General features: G+C 42.2%; 1 protein-coding gene and 1 long non-coding RNA gene across 13 annotated transcripts in view, besides 4 other annotated features; one reads left to right on the plus strand and one right to left on the minus strand.

Moving 5' to 3' along the window:
* TNIK (TRAF2 and NCK interacting kinase) overlaps positions 1 to 1,750 on the minus strand; it is a 401,995-nt gene extending 400,245 nt beyond the window's left edge. For 8 of the 9 annotated variants that reach the window (NM_001161566.3, NM_001161565.3, NM_001161562.3 and 5 more), the window contains exon 1: positions 1,349 to 1,747. In NM_001161566.3, coding sequence (NP_001155038.1) covers positions 1,349 to 1,405 — 57 coding nt within the window. In that variant the 5' untranslated portion in view covers positions 1,406 to 1,747. Of the gene's footprint in view, positions 1 to 1,348 lie in introns of all 9 variants that reach the window. The other variant, NR_027767.2, reaches the window with a different exon arrangement.
* On the plus strand, positions 560 to 11,062 carry LOC102724479 (uncharacterized). 4 transcript variants are annotated; one of them, NR_189068.1, is made up of 3 exons: positions 560 to 733; positions 9,426 to 9,597; positions 10,058 to 11,062. It is a non-coding gene; the product is annotated as an uncharacterized LOC102724479 (long non-coding RNA). The 4 variants fall into 4 exon arrangements; NR_189066.1 differs by lacking the exon at positions 560 to 733 and adding an exon at positions 2,242 to 2,699; NR_189065.1 differs by lacking the exon at positions 560 to 733 and adding an exon at positions 2,242 to 2,699 and having other exon boundaries at positions 10,919 to 11,062.
* Positions 1,377 to 1,436: a silencer, noted in NCBI's record as "silent region_14893". NCBI's record gives its function as "represses an Ori minimal core promoter by ATAC-STARR-seq in GM12878 lymphoblastoid cells {active_cell/tissue: GM12878}" and the evidence as "EXISTENCE:reporter gene assay evidence [ECO:0000049][PMID:35858748]".
* Positions 2,448 to 2,948: an enhancer, noted in NCBI's record as "H3K27ac hESC enhancer chr3:171178895-171179395 (GRCh37/hg19 assembly coordinates)". NCBI's record gives its function as "activates a minimal SCP1, AML or CMV promoter by ChIP-STARR-seq in primed H9 embryonic stem cells {active_cell/tissue: H9 hESC(primed)}" and the evidence as "EXISTENCE:reporter gene assay evidence [ECO:0000049][PMID:30033119]".
* Positions 9,968 to 10,017: a silencer, noted in NCBI's record as "silent region_14894". NCBI's record gives its function as "represses an Ori minimal core promoter by ATAC-STARR-seq in GM12878 lymphoblastoid cells {active_cell/tissue: GM12878}" and the evidence as "EXISTENCE:reporter gene assay evidence [ECO:0000049][PMID:35858748]".
* Positions 12,027 to 12,519: a transcriptional cis regulatory region, noted in NCBI's record as "candidate enhancer chr3.4898 targeted for multiplex CRISPR interference". NCBI's record gives its function as "positively regulates TNIK gene expression with high confidence in K562 cells {active_cell/tissue: K562}" and the evidence as "EXISTENCE:mutant phenotype evidence [ECO:0000015][PMID:30612741]".

A 19,840-nucleotide genomic window follows, 5' to 3' on the forward strand; every position in this document is an offset into this window, starting at 1 on the left:
ACTAGGAATCCAGGTAAATGGCCCCAAGATTCAGCATCAATCTAACAATGTATTCCTCAGGAGGGCGTGTGAACTTCCATGCTTCATCCATCCTGGTGTCTCCCTGTAGAGAGCCACCATGAATTCCTTCTCATCCACCCTCCATACATCAAGTATATGCACTCGCTTTCTTTTTAATTTTATTTTTGGTTCGGGAGAGGAAGAAGCAGTCCTTAAATTGGTGTCCAATCCTTCTCAGACACCCGCTGCTGCCACCATCCCCACCCCTCACCCCCTTCCAGGCAGGCAGCATCTAATTAAAATGGCAAGAAAGCTCTGCCCCCTTCCCCAAAGGAGTGTGTTGGGATCGGGAGTTGGGGGTGGGGAAGCGTCGAAGCAGCACTTGGATTCCTGGTATTCTGATCTCAAAACAACAGCAAAATGGATTCTATATCAGTGATGTCTTAGTCAATACAATGAAACGGCGTCTGAGGTAATTCACGTGAAGGTAAACGCAAACCAGTGGGGCTGGGGGGAGGGAGGTGCTCTACAAAGGACTGGCCACAGACACGGGGAAAACACACACAGACACACACACACACACACTCGCACACACTCCAGGGAGTTCCGGTCTGATTGAGGAAAAGCAGAAAACACATCCCTTTCACCTGCTTAAGTTCAGCCATAAAACTGAAACGTTACAGCCACAAAGTCAGAAAGAACAGGCAGGGCTGAGTTAAAGCCATAAATAAAGGTGAGTGGCAGACTGGCATTTAAGGGAGCGCTGAGAGGGCGCCCGGGCGCGGGAGGTAGAAAAGGGGGAGGGGGAGGCAGTTGCCATCTACAAGACCAGCATAGCAATAACTGCCCCCTTGGAGCGGCAGGTTCGGCTTCGCGGGGACAGCCAGCCTCACAATGTCATCTTGCAGGTAGCTGGAAAACGTGAGGGGCCAGTGCCTTTATTCACGCTGGCATTCTTTTTGCAGAAGGGACAGTCGGGTCTCGCGCCTTGGCACCAGACAACTGCCCGGGGCGTGTACACACACACACACACACACACACACACGCACACACGCCTTTCATTTTAATGCTCTTACACCGGTATAAGATGAAACTGGCATAAGCTCTACGAGCCCTCGGGAGAGCCTAAGCCACGGCCAGAGGAAGACACGTACCGCACAGCCCCTGCCGTAGGGGCTCAGCCAGGAGCACCTCAGCAACCCCGAATCAAAACGGGAATCCAGGTTCCCTCCCCGACGCATTCTCCCGCTGCTGTCCCCCTGCCCCAGCCCCAGCCCCCAGTCCACGCACCGAGCCCATTCACCCTAACCCAAACCACTGGAAAGAAACCAGAAAACGTCCTGCTCACCCTCAGAGCCGAGAGATCTATTTCATCCAGGCTTCGAGCCGGGGAGTCGCTCGCCATGTCTACTTCTTCGCTGGAGAAATGGACCAAAACCACCCCGAAGCTTTTCCCTTGGAAATTCCACCTTGGTCTATTTCACTCGCGTCCTCATGCGGGTGTCGCGCCAGAGGCCCCGGGCCCAGCCTCCCCCGCCCACCCCAGCCCCACAGCGCCGGATCCCGATCCTCCGCGCGTCGGTCCGCCGGGTCCGGGAGCCCAGCCTGCGCGGATCTCCAAGCCCCGAGCAGCGGTGCGTGTGGGCTGAGCGCCCCGATCGGCTAAGGGCGCTGGGGCTGCGTGGGTGTATTTAAATGGGACATGCTTCTTTGCTTGTGCGTGGATGGCGGCTGCATTGGCTGTTATAATGAGACACATCAACTCCTCCACTCAGCAGGGGGAGGGTGGGGGTGGAGAACCACGCAGAACTGTCTATCACCGCTTCCTGGGAGGAGTGAAGGGGGAGTGGGGAGGCGGAGGAGGCGTGGTCTTGGACTGGGGAGAGGCCGCGCTTCCTGACCCGGTCCCTCTGCACCAGCGTGGAGGGGGGAGGGGCGCGCACCCTTTCCGCCCAGGCTTTTGCGGGCTCCTCGGGCCGAACCCGAAGGGGCTGTTCCTGAACCTTGACTTGTTATCATAGGGACCCAAGCTCTATTTTTGTGTGGCCAATTCGTGCACTGCAGCAAAATGGCCCTTCAGTCGCGTCTTGGGGTTTCTCCTCGGTTCAAATGCTCTCGCGCTGAGAAAAAGCCGGAGGAAAAAAAAGCGACACCCTCCCTCCCCCATTAATTATTTGTGGGGCCGGAGTAACGCGGGCTGGTGCAACCGGTGCATATAAGGACTTGTGTGCAAGGAAGGGGATCCGCCTCCAGGCGCGGAAAGAGTAGGGAAGAAGCGCACACGCACAGTGCACCCAGCTGGGCGCTTCGGCAGTTTGCAGCTGCGGCGGGGTCGGGTCCACCCGCGGTCCCCGGAATGCCGGACGGCTGATCCCGGGTGCTGGTCACTCGCCGATTCGGGGCTGGGAAGGTTTGCCAGAAGCGGGAAAGATGGGAGATCTGAGCGCTCTCTTGGCATCGCCACACCCAGGACTTGCTCGTGCCGCAATTCCCCACGGAAACAACCGAGTTGAAACGAGAAGCTTGCTCTCTGGGTGCAGTAGCTAGAAGGCTTCAGGTAACTCCAAAGCCAACACTGGGTGAGGCAACACACGCCGCCTCAGGACTCAGCATTTCTTTCAGGCTGCGTTTTCGTGGCAGACCTACCCAGATTGATGGAGAAAGTTTGGCTGGCGGATAAGAAGTAACGCGGAAGATGTGTACGTGAGAGCGATTTCACTTCACTCACTTTCTCATTTAAAGGTTGGATGTTTTACAGTGGTATACATGATTCTCCTTCTGTAATCAAGAGTGGGAAGTCGCTTCCCCCAATCCCCGCGCAGCCCTTCTTCTCCCGCCTTAGCCATGCAAAATACCTAGAAAGAAAACACTAAAACTGAACTTTTTTCCAAATACAGCAGTAGCTTTGAAAGCATTCTTTGCTCCTCTGTTAACAGCAGAATGTAATTCTGACCACTGCACTGATGGTTTCTTAATCATGCAGTATGAAGATCAGCTTCAAAATAAGTCTTATGAATGAATGAATGAAAGCCAGTGCAGTTAGTTCATCATGACTGCAGACATTAGAGGACTTTGAAACAACCTTTGGTGTACATTGTACTGTTTTTGTTACTGATATTGTATGTATTCATATGCATTGTGGATCATGCACCATGAAACTTGAAAATTGTTCCAACATCTCAATGGCCACAACAGTTTGGTAGCTTTTGCCTGTAAACGTTGTATGTAAACATTTGAACGTGTTATACTAAATTACTAAACTCATTTTTTACTAAAATCATCTGGTTCGACATAGTAAGTAACGTGCAGTAAGCCACCACGTCGAAATGAAAAAAAAAAAACAGATTATTTCCCATCATTGTCTTTGTTTTTTTCTCTTCTGTGTTCCTGTTTTTTTACCGTTCATCTAGACAACAGGTTAATGTATTGTCTCAGGGTTGAAAGAAGATAATTTAAGATCAAGTATTAAGATCTATAAACAACTATTTTTTTAAAACTGCAAACATAAGGAAATATGAGTTAAATATTTTTTCCATGGAAAGCCTTCGTTTTATACTCATGATTATATTTGAAACATCACAAACAGATCAACTTTTTTGACATTAGTGAGCTGTTTGGGCCACGAGGGTGCCAAGTTGGCATTCAGATTTAGTTTAGTTTTAGATGAGAAAGTTATAGATGCAGTATGATGCCAGGTGCTAAATGGAGGAGGGCTTCCTAAGAGCCTGAGAAGTTGATGAGACAGCCAGGGGAAGGCAGGGGTGTGGGCTGCAGGAAATACCATAAAAGGAGAGATTGCAGTATCAAAGGGACCTCCAACTGGTAAAGGAAGGTGAGAAGGAGGAACTTGAACTTTTTCCTTTTGGTCAAGTGTGTATCAAATTTCAGCTATTCCAGTATAAATTTCCTAATTTTTTCCTATGTCTCTGTATTGCCTGTACTATTTTACCACTTACTTAACATTTTTCTTTAAATCAACACTTTTTTCTTACACTTAATATAAAAGAAAACATAAATCACTACTCTAAATGGAAAGCCAACAACACTTGCTTTGAAAAAAAAAGGGGGGAGGAAACCATTAAAATAAATATAATGGAAAATAAAGAAGTATTATTAAATTCTAGCTAGCCATCAATTCCTGCTCTGGGCTTCTAGCCTAAGGCCTACTCTTAGTTTGTTAAAAGAGAGAATAGCAAATACCAGGAAAAACATTCAAGACTTGAGATTTTTTTCTTGATGTAATCTGAAGGATTAAGAGAACTGACACCATTTATGTGCAGTTTGAAAACCTGCCGAATAATACACTATGCTGTTTACATATGTATAAATATGTAGTAAACTATATAAAGCATGGATACAGGCAGTAAGGATACAGATTAACTTCAGGATAATGAGAAAAGAGGAAGAGGAAAAGGAGACTCCAACAATGATACCTAATTTTTTTGCTAAAGATTTCTGCCAGGCACGGTGGTGGCTCACACCTGTGATGCCAACATTTTGGGAGGACAGGTTGGGAGGATAGTTTGAGTCCAGGAGTTCGAGACCCGCCTGGGCAACTTGGTAGAACCCCATCTCTACAAAAAATACAAAAATTAGGTGGGCATAGTGGTACACCCCTGCAATCCCAGCTACTAGGGTGGCTGAGGTGGAAGAATTGCTTGAGTCCGGGAGGTTGAGGCTGCAGCAAGCCAAGATAAGCCACTGCACTCCAGCCTGGGCGACAGAGGGAGACCCTCTTTATAAAAATGAATAGAAAATTTGAATAATAAGTAATACTATGCTGCAGATATTTTTCTAAGCATTTGTTCTATCTGAATGTTTGTGTCTCCCAAAATTTATGTGTTGAAACCTAACCCCCATAGTGATAGTATTAAGAGGTGGAACCTTTAAGAGGTGATTAGATCATGAGGGCAGATCCTTCATGAACTGGATTAGTGCCCTGAGAAAAGAAGCTTGAGGGAGCCTGTTCGCCCTTCCACCACATGAAGATGCATAGAAGGGGCCATCTGTGAGAAAGGAGCCCTCAGCAGACTTCAAATCCGCTGATATCTTGATCTTGGACTTTCCGGCCGCAGAACTGTGAGCAATTCTGTTTCTGTTGTTTATAAATTACCTAGTCCAAGGCATTTAAGTAATTTAAGTAACATGGAGAATAAATCCAGAAGGCCCAATATTCATCTGATAAGGGATCTAGAGAATGGATGGAAGGAAATACTCAAAAAATGGTAGAAAATATTCCAGTATCTTGACTGGGCACGGTGGCTCACACCTGTAATCCCAGCACTTTGGGAGGCTGAGGAGGGCGGATCACCTGAGGTAGGGAGTTCAAGACCAGTCTCACCAACATGGAGAAACCCCGTCTCTACTAAAAATACAAAATTAGCCGGGTGTGGCAATGCATGCCTGTAATCCCAGCTACTAGGGAGGCTGAGGCAGGAGAATTGCTTGAACCCTGGAGGTGGAGGTTGTAGTGAGCCAAGATCGTGCCATTGCACTCCAGCCTGGGCAACAAGAATGAAAAAAAGAAAATATTCCAGTATCTTTAAGTAAAAAGCTCTCATTTAGCTCTGAGCCAAATGCATAGGTAAAAAATAACACACTTAAACACCTCACAGTGAGATTTCAGAGCATGAAGGATAAAAAGTAAATCTTAACTGGATTACCTTCTCATCAGCAACAATGGATGCTAATAGACAATGGAACAGTATTCTAAGGAAATCATTGTAATGGTGTTTTGTCTTGTTTTGTTTTGTTTTTGAGACACAGTCTCTCTCTGTCACCCAGACTGGAGTGTGTGGCTGGCTCATTGCAGGACCTCAGTGAGTTCAAGCTATCCTCCCACCTTAACTACCTTAACCCCACCACCACCCAATAACTGAGCTGGGACCACAAGTGCGTGCTGCCATGCCTGGCTAATTTTTTTTTTTTTTTTTTTTTTTTTTTTTAGAGCTGGAGTCTCAGTAAGTTTCCTTGGCTGGTCTCAAATTCCTGGGATTCCACCTCGGCTTCCCAAAATGTTGGAATTACAGGTGCAAGCCACCACGCCCAGCCTCTAAGGGAATTGTTTTTAACCTAGACTACCAAACTAAATTAGCACTTAAGAGAGGGTACAAAATAATGACACATATTTTCAGATATGTAAGAGTTGAGATTGCTGCCCATCCTTGAAATTACTTTTAGAGAATGTCTTCCACCAAAGAGTAAACTGAATCCAAAAACAAAGTGTGTGTTACAAAAGACAATGATAAACAAAGGTAGCAAACTCTGTTACCTGCTCAAAGCCATTCTTTCTTCCTTACTAGTAAAACACCGATTTTGACAATTTACCCTCCATGTGTGTAAAACATATAGATTCTCCCCAGCCCCATTCTATTCTCTCTCCTAATGATTGGTTTAGACATAGGCATATCATTCAACACTGACTACTGAGAAGTGCAGAGAAGTCTGGTAGGGCTTATAGATATGGTTTTCCTCCATCGGGCACCGTGGCTTACGCCTGTAATGCCAGCACTTTGGGAGGCCGAGGCGGGCGGATCACCTGAGGTCGAGAGGTTGAGACTGGCCTGACCAACATGGAGAAACCCCGTCTCTACTAAAAATACAAAATTAGCCAGCCGTGGTGGCACATGCCTGTAATCCCAGCTACTCGGGAGGCTGAGGCAGGAGAATTGCTTGAACCCAGGAGGCGGAGGTTGCGATGACCCCAGATCACGGCATTGCACTCCAGCCTAGGCAACGAGAGCGAAACTCCGTCTCCAAAAAAAAAAAAAAAAAAAGAAAGAAAAGAAAAGAAATGGTTTTCCTCTTTGAAAGTTGAAAAAAGAAAAGGAAACAAGGAATAGGGAAGGAAGATCGGAAGAAATGAAGGAAGAAGGAAGGAAGAGAAGACAAAACAAGAGAAATGGCCAGGAAAAGCTTCCTTCCCATGGTAGCTATGCCCAAGATGATTTCCAATGAGCCTCACTTTCTGGTATTCACACCCTTGTGTGGATCCCTCCAACATGGAATACAGAGGACTTCCAAAGCTGGGTAATACAAGGCATTTCAGCTTTTACCTTGCTCTCTTGGCTCACTTGCTCTAAGGCAGGATTTCTTAACATTAGCACTATTGGCATTTTGGGCCTGATAATTCATGTTGTGAAAGGCTGTCTTGTGTCATATAGGATGTTTAGCAGTAACTCTAGTTCCAACCCACTAGATATCAATAGCAACTTTCCAGTTATGACAACCAAACACGTCTCCAGATATTGCTAAATGCCCCCTGGTGAGAAAAATCACCCACAATAAGAACCAGAGCTCTATGGGAAGCCAGCCATCTTGTCCCACAGATATTCATGCAACCTGCCTGCCATGTTGATGAGTCGCTTTGAAGTGGATCTCTAGCCCCAGTCAAGCCTTCAGATGACTGCAGTCTCAGCTGATTCTGACAGAAACCTCATGAGAGATCCTAAGCTAGAAGCACCCAACCAATCTGCTCCCGAATCCCTGACCCACAGAAATCATATTATTAAAATAATAAACTTTATTGTTGTTTTAAGTTGCTTGATGTGTTATGCAGGAAGGGATAACTAATACATTATTTTCAGACAGGGTTGTGTGAGGATATAATAGCTGGAACTATAGAAGTCTTCTTCCTACCAGGGTGGGAGGAGCTTCAAAAAAAGTGAAAAGATGAAAAGAACCTGGATCCTGCATGACACCATTGAATCACTACATTAACTAACCCAGGAACAAACTGTCTTTGAATTTCTTTTTGTGTGACATAAGTTTTTCTCATGGTTTAAGTCAGCTTTAGTGGAGTATTCTGTTTTTTGCACCCAACCACTTTCTGTTATAGAAAATTTTAAATTTTTAATTGTTTTCATCATTGCTAGTTAATAAAAATAAATAATGATAGTCTATAACTAAATGATGTTATCACAAGGATAAAAGGCAAGAAGAGGAGGAAAAGCATGCTAAGATTTTTTTGTCTTATTTGGAGATGTATATAGATACTATCTCTAAACACAGAAAAGTATATCAATTATGCATAATAAACATAAGGTCACCACATAGATGGATACAAATTGGATGTTTAAAGTACAGGCTACTTGAATGGAAAAAAAATGAAACAAGAGTAACTATGAATTCAATAAAATAAAGAAAAGAAAAAATATCAACCAGAATGAGTAGTATGAAGAACAAGTTTTTAGAGTGGTGGGGCCCACCCAGTATCCATTCTGCTTTGGTATACTGTGGTAGGCAGAATAATGGCCCCTCATCGACGTCCACGTTCCAATCTCTGGAACCTGTAATTACGTTACCTTACAAGGCAAGAGGGACTGTGCAGATGTGATTCAGTTAAGGCATTTGAGATGAGGAGATTTTCCTGGATTATCAGAGTAAACCCAAGTAATCACAAAGTTCCTTAAAAGTAAAAGAGGGAGTCAGAAAAGGACTCAGAGTTAGAGGAAGATGTAATATGAAAAAGGCACTGAGAAATATAACATTGCTGGCTTTGAAAATGAAGGAAGGGGCACACATACACCAAGGAATATGGGCAGCCACTAGAAGCTGAATCAGGCAAGGAAGCACATTGTCCCCGGGAGCCTCCAGAAAGGAATGCAGCCCTGATAACATTTTTTTTTCTTTCTTTCTTTCTTTTTTTTTTTGATGGAGTCTTGCTCTGTCGCCAAGGTTACAGTGCAGTGGAGCTCACTGCAACCTCCGCCTCCCGGGTTCAAGTGATTCTCCTCCTGAGTAGCTGGGATTACAGGCATGTGCCACCATGCCTGGCTAATTTTTGTATTTTTAGTAGAGATGGAGTTTCACCATGTTGGCCACGCTGGTTTTGAACTCCTGACCTCAGATGATCCTCCCACCTTGGCCTCTGAAAGTGCTGGGATTACAGGCATGAGCCACTGCAGCAGGCCCTTTTCATTTATTTTATTTTATTTTTTGAGACAGGGTCTTGCTCACTTGTCACTGCATTCCTAGGCTGGAGTGCAGTGGTGAGATCACAGCTCACTGCAGCCTTGATCTCTTGCACTTAAGGGATCCTCCCACCTTGGCCACTGAAGTAACTGGGACTACAGGCGCAGGCCACCACGCTTGGCTAATTTTTCAATTTTCTTGTAGAGATGAAATCTCACTATGTTGCCCAGGCAGATCTCAAACTCCTGAGCTCAAGGGATCCTCCCACCTCAGCCTCCCAAAGTGTTAGGATTACAGGGATGAGCCACCATGCCTGGCCCCTACTAACATCTTGATTTTAGCCCAGAAAGACCCATTTTGGACTTCTGACTATAGGATAATAGATTTGTGTTATTTAAGTAAAGCCACTAATTTTGAGGTGATTTGTCACAGCAGTGATTTAAAAAAATGAATACAAACTTCTTTTATCCATTTTTATTTTTAAATCATTGTCTCTTTTCCCTTGGTTACAGATTATTGTGGCTGTCACTCAGGTTTTCTGCTCATTGGTAGACAAAGGGTGAGGAGGTGACTGAAATTGGAACAGTGGAAGGACCCTTCACCAAAACCTGGAACTTCAGAAGAATGGCAGGGCTGAAAATGATTAGTGTTAATTCATTCCAGTTGTGTTACCCTACCCATAAGGTATGACTAGAGACCACTCCTCTTTCCTAGTTCGAGGAATAGGAAGCCTTGTTTCCTTGTATCTTGTTCGTTTCCAAACTTGGTTCTCTGTGCTAGTTATTTATTGCTTTATAACAAACAAACCACCTCTAAACTCAATGACTTAAAACAGTAACAGTCATTTCTGTAGCTTGAAAATGTGTAATTTGGGCAGGATTTCGTGGGGAATTCTCATTTGCTCCACAGAGCATGAGGTAGGGCTGGAGGACCCACTTCCAAAATGGCTTGCTCACATGCCTAGCAAGTGTGGTGTTAGGCTATCAGGAGTGCTCAGCCAGGGCTGATGGCTGGGAGCTTCTCTTCCTCTCCGGGTGGGTCTCTCCACGGTCTGTTGGAGCTTCTTCATGGCATAGTGTCTGAGTTGCAAGAACAAGCATCCCATGAGAACCAGGTAGAAGCTGTATTTCCTTTTCTGACCTAGCCTCAGAAGTCATGCGACTTCATTTCCACCACTGTCATGAATCTACCCGGACTCAAGGGGAGGATGCAGAGATGCCACCTTTCAATAAGAGGATTATCTAAGTTGCACTGAAGAAGAGCATGTGGGATGGAAGATACTATTGCAGTATTTTTGGAAACTAAAGCCTACCATATTCTTCAAGCCTTACCATCAATTCTGTGTCCTCAGCATTCTCCCCTTTGCTCACGTTAGCGAGAGTTAGTTTCTACTTTTGCTTGTAACCAAAGAATAATGTAGCTGGCATAAGCACAAACATATCAGAATAAGTATAAATATTTAAACTTCCTTATTAAAAGACAGAAGCTCTCAGAATTTGTAGAAACAAAGCAAAGCAACCCCAATAAATTAAGAATGTGGATGCTTTTCAAATCTCTCACAGAAAATTAACAACATTGGACCAGGCCAAAAAGTACGCTTTTTATAATTTCCCAAAAGCAACAATCATACATACCATATTATTAGTAGATTTCAACATTCATGTAACAGATCCATCTAAATCTGTAATTCTCAATTATTGAAACTTTTTCACTAGAATGACTTTAGTTTCTCATTATACTTAAAGTTACTCCCAGAGGCCCACCCAAGAATTTATCATCATCTTGAACAGCTTTTCTTTAGAAAATAAAGCTCCAATTTTCCTTTGTCCAATTAGTCTACCCTTCCAGCTCCCCGGCAGCCTTCACTGACATTACTGCTGTTTTTCACTGACATTACCGCTGCCTTACAAAGACTCTATTTCTGTACATTGGTAGCATTCTTCATTATTTTCCAATTGGTCTTACCTCTTACCCTTCCTCTTTCCAATTTTGTGCTGGACCTCAGACTGCCTGAAGGAGCCTGAACTTCCACGTGCTGTCTTCCATATAATGTGATCTGAGGTGAAGAGCATGGTCCCTGGAGTTGAACTGCCTGAAGTAAATCCCAAAATAGAAAAATAAAAATAAAACAGTGGTTTTATTGTTTTTATTTCTTGTTTCTCATTGATAGGTAGATAGAGAGTTTTCTTTAAAAGCCTAGTGCTTTTGGGATAATAATGGCAAGTGATTACATCTCTTTTGTATTAAATAGGTTTGGAGAAATTTTCTTAATTATCTGGTACTATTTAAACTCAAAGGCAAACACAACACTCTATCTAAAATACCAGTATTACACTTTCCCTAAATGCAGAAAACTATTTTTACTAAAAATTTGGCAAGCACTTTCAAAACAGCATTTTTCTGTTTTCATTCCTTGAGAATTTCCTAACAAGTATGCATAGAAATTTTAATATAGAGCTTTAATCCTTCAATATTTATTGTAAAAGTTTAATTGTTTATCCTATTTTTTTGGAAGTTGCTTAATCTTCTTAAATCCTAAAGCGGTTTTAAATGTAATTGTATTCTGGCCAAGTAATTGAGTTTTCAGCTTGCTTTCCCCTCAATATTTTCAGGATCTAACCTAGTATCCTGCAACAGTACATACATGCCTAGTCAATGACCAAACATACTGTAACTGAAATGATGAAAGGACATTTATTCTGATTACCAAGGCCTGTGCAGACTATGTCATAAGTCTGGGGTGCTTTGCTCCCTGCTGGCTATCTCAATGTGCTTTCACTTTTCCCATATAACTTTTTTTTTTTTTTTTTTTTTTTTTTTTTTTTTTTTTTTTTGAGACGGAGTCCCGCTCTTTAGCCCAGGCCGGATTGCAGTGGCGCAATCTCGGCTCACTGCAAGCTCCGCCTCCCAGGTTCACGCCATTCTCCTGCCTCAGCCTCCCGAGTAGCTGGGACTACAGGCGCCCGCCACCGCGCCTGGCTAATTTTTTGTATTTTTAGTAGAGACGGGGTTTCACCGTGTTAGCCAAGATGGTCTCGATCTCCTGACCTTGTGATCCGCCCGCCTCGGCCTCCCAAACTGCTGGGATTACAGGCGTGAGCCACCGCGCCCAGCCCCCATATAACTTTTTTACAGAACTGTGTCCTGTTTAATTTTAGGATTAAAATGTCCCATACCCCACCATACACGCAAAATAATTTTCAGTTCTTTTATTTCATGTTCCTATATTTGAATGGCATAACCCCAGGTTAGCTAGAGCTAGGGGAGGGGATGAGTAGCCTAACTGGACCTTTACATGAAGTCATAGGGTAGATAAAAGTGCTTATCAGACTTTTCAAGCTGGAAGGGAACTTACAGATAAGCAACTCCAACCCCCTCATTTTACAGATAAGGAAACCAAGGTCCAGAAACACTATGTGACTTGCTCAGTGTCACAGACTTAGCACAGGAAAGGGCTTTGGGGACTGAAGACTTTGTGCTAAAAAAAGAAAAAAAAAAAAAAAAAAAGCAAGGCCTTATTTATCAGTATTGTCTCCCACCAGATTCCCCATATACTGTTTCTTCTACTCTACCATATTGTGTCCCAGACATTCAAAGTTCTTTCCACTTGTGTTGTGCTTTTTATCTTAAGGAAACCATACAAGTACAGAACTTGTTGTATTTCCCTTAACGTGTGGGCTGCCTGAGAGCTCCAAGCTAAATGAGTTGGTTTGCCATGCCTGGTACTGGCTCTTGGGTGGGAGAAAGTGCCAAAAATGGAGTTGAGAGGCTTGGCTGGGTGGGTTCTTAAAGCCAGAGAACTCAGGGAACAAAGTAAGGAATGGGGAGTTGTTTGGATTCATTAGCCGAAGAAAATAGAGGCCAAACCTCTCCAGAAATTTAACACACTCTCATCATGCAATTACATGGATGATTTTTAAGGTGGATGCTGGAAAATGCATTCTCTTTTGTTTAGTACTTAAGACACCGTATTGTAGTTGCTGTCTTTCTTTTCTACCATGGAGCTGTTGATTGCAAGGATCCTTTCTTGCTCATCTCTTTTTCTCTAGTGCCTAGCATAATTGCCACAATAAAGTGGTGTGTATTTAAAAAATAAATCAATAAATCAGTGTAGTGAAGTTGGTAAAGGTAGATGAAATGAGCCACTTTGAAGCCAGAAAATTCTGGACAAATCTTTTAAGTCCCCTAAGTGTCAACATTTTATGTTTGTTATAATTTCACGTGGCTAGTTGATTCTGAGAATAAACCAAGATTCCCATTGCTGATACTCTATCCAAAGCTGATAATAAAAATTAATTATAGATCCATCTTTCTCATCTAGTCACAGAGTGTAAATTAATTCACTCATTCATATATTCATTCATCAAAAACATGGATTGAATACAAAGATCATCAAGATGGCCTCTGCCCTTTATAATTTAGGCAGTGTTTCTGAAAGTATGATCTCTGATGCACTGACATCAAAGAGGGGAGCAGGGCTTGATTAACATGTAGATTCCCAGAGTGTGGGGGGCCAGGGCTCAGGAATAAACATAATGAAACTTAGGTAAGATGTACAGAGAGTATAAGAGCTGAGAGGGGTGGAAAGGATTCAGAGACAGAGTCTAGGACATGGAGAAACTAAAAGAGGATCCTAAAGCTGGTTGGGCAGAGGTTCTAGGCCTTTGTAGATGTTAATGAGTTAGTGATTAAGTGATGTTGTTAGTGAGCTAGTGACTTGTAGATGTTATGAGTGAGTTAGTGAGTAAGGAAGACCCTGAAAAGTTGCTTAGTGTCCTTTGTCTTCCACTCTGTCACTTATAACGGAGGCAGCCTGGCCACACCGTGCTGGAACTCTTCAAAGCTCTCACAGAACCAGACCAAAGGCTTTTTCTGTTGAATAGTGCTATGGTCTAAATTTCTGTGTCTCCCCAAGCTCATAGGTTGAAATCCTAACCCCTAGGACAAGAGGTGGGGCCTTTGGGAAGTGATTAGGTCATGAGTGGGATTAGTGCCCTTATAAAAAAGGCCAAAGAGATCCTTATCCTTTCCCCCATATGAGGACACGTGAGAAGGTGCTGCCTATGAGGAAGCAAGCCTTCATCAAACATGGAATCTGCAGGCATCTTGATCTCGGACTTTCTAGCCTCCAGCACTGTAAGAAACAAATGTCTGTTGTTTATAAGCCACCCAGCTTATGGTGTTTTGTTATAGCAGCCCAGATGCACTAAGACAGGCTCAGCCAAAGCAAGAGTCAACCTTGCTCCAGAAAGGTAGTAGAGCTCTTGGCTCTTCAGCAATCAGGCTGTCCTATTATTTCATCCTTTTAAGCCATACCAGAACCTTTTACCTCTAGCTTAATACCTAGAACATGGGACATTTTTAAGTTGAGTTCATGCTTCCCTTTGTCTTTGTCCGCAGACTGACACAGCCTGGAAAAACAATCATGAGTCCATTCTATGGCGACCTTTTTGTTAAATCCCTCTAGCAGGTGACACAAATTAATTCAAGCCCATCCTTCTCAAGTTGTGCCTTGCAATTGCTCTGTTTTCTTTTTTTCTTCATGAGACAGAGCCTTGCTCTGTTGCCCAGGCTGGAGTGCAGTGGCACGATCTTGGCTCACTGAAACCTCTGCCTCAGCCTCCTGAGTAGCTGGGACTACAGGTGCCTGCCACCATGCCAGGATAATTTTTGTACTTTCAGTAGAGACGGGGTTTCAGCATGTTGGCCAGGCTGGTCTTGAACTTCTGACTAGGTGATCTGCCCGCCTCAGCCTCTCAAAGTGCTGGGATTACAGGCATGAGCCACCGAGCCCAGCCTGCAGTTGCTCTGTTTTCTGATGGATATGTCCTGGGAATATGAGCATCTCTCTGCTTGAAATCTCAGCCTGAAAGCCTTCTGCAGTTTAGGAGGAAAATTCCTTTGATGATTCTTTTATTTTTTAACTCTTATTTTGAAAAATTCTAAACATATGCAAAAGTAGAGTATATCTGATTTCCCTTTATACATCACCAGTTTCAACAGCCATTAGAGTGTTATCATACTTATTTTTATCTATTTCTCCTCCTCATGCTTTTTTTCTTTCCTAAACCATTTTAAAACAAATATTTAGGCCGAGGCGGGCGGATCACGAGGTCAGGAGATCGAGACCATCCTGGCTAGCACGGTGAAACCCCATCTCTACTAAAAATACAAAAAATTACCTGGGCGTGGTGGCGGGCGCCTGTAGTCCCAGCTACTCGGGAGGCTGAGGCAGGAGAATGGCGTGAACCCGGAAGGTGGAGCTTGCAGTAAGCCGAGATCGCCACTGCACTCCAGCCTGGGTGACAGAGTGAGACTCCATCTCAATAAAAAATATATATATATTTGGCATCATGTCATTTTACTTCTAAATATTTCAGTATGGATCTCAAAAAAGAAGGAGGGATTTAAATATGGGCTGTGCTTAGTGACATGCTTCCAAAGCATAGAGGATGGAAATGGGGGGAGATGTAACTTTACAGTGGAGAAACCTAGTAAACAGCAAATACTACCTTGGTCAGGTGATCAAGATTAACATCATTAGTGATAAGTCATGTGGACAGCATGTATCTTTGATATGATATAATGAAAAAGATACTAGTCAAATACAAATAAATTGTGTAGTTTAGTTAATAGTAATGTGCCTATGTTGGTTCCTTAGCTGTGACACATGTCCCAGAGTGATGTAAGATGCTCACGAAAGGAGAAACTAGGTACAGAGTATGTAGGAACTCTATACTATCTGCAAATTTTTGGTACTCTAAAATGTTTTAAGTTTATTATTTAAAAGGGAAGCAGGACAACTACAGTGCTACTATCACACTTAAAAAGAAAAGTTGCCCCAAACCAGGTCACAGACATAACATTTTTGCATGGTGGAATTCATAACCACCTTCTGCAAAATGTATATTGCAAAGTGTATTAATAGTTAAACATCCAAAAAATGTATTGAGACACCACCCTTTAAATAAAGCCTTCAAATCTAAACTATATGCTAGTACCCAAGAACCATCTGAAAGCCAACATGCTTTTTCAGGTGTGTGAAACATGCTGTCAAGGTTGTGGGTTGATTGCAGTGAAGATTTTTAAAGAGAAAAATTTTCTATTTTATTGTCATATAATAATTACGTTAATACCTCCTATCTGAATAACACCAACAGTTTACACAGAAGTTTCATATGCACCTTCTTACTTACCCCTCACAATAAAGTAGATATTATCATTATACTCTTTCACAGATGTAGAAAGTGAACAGGAAAGTAAATCGCAATGGTTTTCAAATGTTCTGCAGACTAGAAAATTCTTATCAAGTCAGATACCATGTAGACCAGTGGAACAGATTAGAGAACCCAGAAATAAAGCTGCATACTTAACAACCACTTGATCTTCAACAAACCCAACAAAAGCAATGAGGAAAAGACTCCCTATTCAACACATCGTGCTGACATAACTGATACATATGGATACATATGCAGAAGAATAAAACTGGGCGCCTACATATCACCAAGTACAAAAAATTAACCCAAGATGGATTAAAGGCTTAAATGTAAGTCCTCAAACCATTAATATAAAAAGCCTAGAAGAAAACCTAGGAATTACCCCTCTTGATACTGGGCTTGGCAAAAAAATTTTGGTTAAGTCCCCCAAAGCAATGACAACAAAACCAAAAATTGATAAATGGGACCTGAGCTTCTGCATAGCAAAACAAACTATCAAGGAAGTAGGGCCAGGTACAGTGGCTCTCGCCTGTAATCCCAGCACTTCGGGAGGCCGAGGCAGGCGGATCACGAGGTCTGGAGATAGAGACCATCCTGGCTAACAGGGTGAAACCCCGTCTCTACTAAGAATACAAAAAATTAGCCAGGCGTGGTGGCGGGCGTCGGTATTCCCAGCTACTCCGGAGGCTGAGGCAGGAGAATGGGGTGAACCCGGGAGGCGGAGCTTGCAGTGAGCTGAGATCTTGCCACTGCACTCCAGCCTGGGCGACAGAGTGAGCCTCTGTCTCACAAAAAAAAAAAAAAAACTATCAAGGAAGTATACAGACAGACAGCCTACAGATTCGGGGAAACTATTCATAAACTATGCATCCAACAAAGGTCTAATGTCCAGACTCTACAAGGAACTTAAACAAATTAACAATCAAAAAACAACCCCGTTAAAAAGTGAGCAAAGGACATGAACAGACAATTTTCAAAAGAAGACATACAAGGGGCCAACAAACGAAAAAAGCTCATCATCACTAATCCTCAGATAGATGCAAATTAAGACCTCAATGAGTGCCATCTCACACCTGTCAGAACGGTTTTTGTTAAAAAGTCAAAAAATAACAGATGTTGGCAAGGCTGTGGAAAAAAGGGGATACTTATACACTGTTGGTGGGAATGTAAATTAGTCCAGCCACTGCGGAAAGCAGTTTGGAGATTTCTCAAAGAACTAAAAGTTGAGCTACTGTTCAACCTAGCAATACCATTACTGCCATTACTGGGTATACACCAAAAGGAAAATTAATTGTTCCACCAAAAGGACACATGCACCTGTATGTTCATTGCAGCACAATTCACAGTAGTAAATACATGGAATCAACCTAGATGCCCACCAGCAGTGGACTGGATTTAAAAATGGTATCAGCCAGGTGTAGTGGCTCATGCCTGTAGTCCCATACTTTGGGAATCCAAGGCAGGAGGATTGCTTGAAACTAGGAGTTCAAGACCAGCCTGGGCAATATGGCAAGAGAGACTCTACAAAAATTTGTTTTAATTGTTTTAATTTAATGTTTATTTATTTTAATGTTTACTTAATTTAATGTTAATTTAATTTATTTAATGTTTATTTAATTTAATGTTTACTTATTTAATTTAATGTTTATTTTTGTTTATTTCAAGACTGTCTCGAAATAAACATTAAATTAAAAATAATTTTTTAATTATTTGAAATTAAATAATTTCATTGTCTCAAAAATAACTAAAATAATTATTAAATAATTAAAATAATTAATTAATATTTATTCAAATTATTTTATCATTATTTAAATTAAATATTGTTTAATAATTATTTTTGAGACACTGGTAAGGCTGTGGAGAAAGGGGGACACTTATACACTGTTGGTGGGAGTGTAAATTAGTCCAGTCACTGTGGAAAGCAGTTTGGAGATTTCTCAAAGAACTAAAAGTTGAGCTACCATTAATAAAAATAATTAAATTAAATTAACTAATTTAGTTAATAAAAATAATTAAATAATAAAATATTTGATAAATGTAATTAATTATATCTATTAATATTAGTTTATTTAATAAAGATAATATAATAAATACTTAATTGTTATTTAATTAGTTTAATTATTTAATAATTATTTTCAAGACACTTTGTCTTGAAATAAATAAATTTTATTTTGCCCAGGCTGGAGTGCAATGGCACAATCATGGCTCATTGCAGCTTTGATTTCCTGGGCTCAAGTGATCCACTTCAGCCTCCTGAGTAGCTAGGGCTACAGGCCAGTGCCACCATGCCTGGCTTTTTTTTTTTTTTTTCAATTTTTTGTAGATGGGATCTCACTGTGTTACCCAGGCTGGTCTTGAACTCCTGAGCTCAAGCAATCATCCTGCTTCAGCCTCCCAAAGTGCCGAGATTAGAAGCTTGAGCCACTGTGCCTAGCCAAAAAATTTTTTTCAATTAAAAAAAAATTGTGGGCCAGACGCAGTGGCTCATGCCTGTAATACTGGCACATTGGGAGGCCGAGGTGGGTGGATCAAGAGGTCAGGAGATTGAGACCATCCTGGCTAACATGGTGAAACCTCATCTCTACAAAAAATACAAAAAATTAGCCGGGTGTAGTGGCGGGTGCCTGTAGTCCCAGCTACTCTGGAGGGTTGAGGCAGGAGAATGACGTGAACCTGGGAGGCGGAGCTTGCAGTGAGCCAAGACTGTGCCACTGCACTCCAGCCTGGGCACAGAGCAAGACTCTGTCTCAAAAAAAAAAAAAATGTGGTACATTTGCATCATGGAATATTATGCAGCCATAAAAAAGAATGAAACCATTCTTTTGCAGCAACATGGATATAGCTGGAGGCCATTATGCTAACTAAGTGAACTAACACAGAAACAGAAAACCAAATACTGCATGTTCCTACTTACAAATGGGAGCTAAACAATGGGCACATGTGGACATAAAATAGGAATAGGCACTGGGGACTGCTAGAAGAGGGAGAGAGGGATGGGGGCAAGGACTGAAAACTACCTTTTGGGTACTATGCTCAATACCAGAGTGACGAGTTCAGTCACATCCCAAACCTCAGCATCATGCAGTATACCTCTGTAACAATCCTGCACATGTATCTCTTGATTCTAAAAGAAAAGTTGAAAAAGAAAAAGAGTCAGATATATAAAACCAATAGGGACAAAGATAACCTTTGCCTTCAAACTACTGCAGCTAACCACTCCCAGGAGGTTATTTTATGCACGGTTTAAAGACTAAAGGTGTAATTTGGAAAAAAAAAAAACACAAAAAACATGAGTTTTAGATTCAGACAAGCCTGATGTTGAAGCCTGGCTGAATATTTATGAGCTGCATGTTACTTTAGATACATTACTTAACCTCTCTAATTCTCAGTTTCCAAATTTGTAAAATGGAGGTAGTAATACTCTAGAGCTCCGTGCAGTACAAATTCCTAACCTTAGCCGTATCTTTGTCTCCCCAAAGGGCTAAATGGATTTTCTGAAAGTATTGAAAGAGTGGCTGGCAGAATCTAATTCTGCCACCAAGTACATTGCTTTTGCCACTACATCATGTGACTGTACATTGTACTCCCAACCAGGTCTGGAGTGCGTGGCAGTGACACATGCTCTCTCCTAAAGAAACAGGGTATGTGCATGTCCTGCTTTTTTTTTTCTTCTTCTTCGTAATTTCATTGGGACACATTTATCAAACTGT

The sequence above is a fragment of the Homo sapiens genome, chromosome 3 (genome assembly GCF_000001405.40).
Source record: "Homo sapiens chromosome 3, GRCh38.p14 Primary Assembly".
In the NCBI taxonomy this organism is placed as follows: Eukaryota; Metazoa; Chordata; class Mammalia; order Primates; family Hominidae; genus Homo; species Homo sapiens.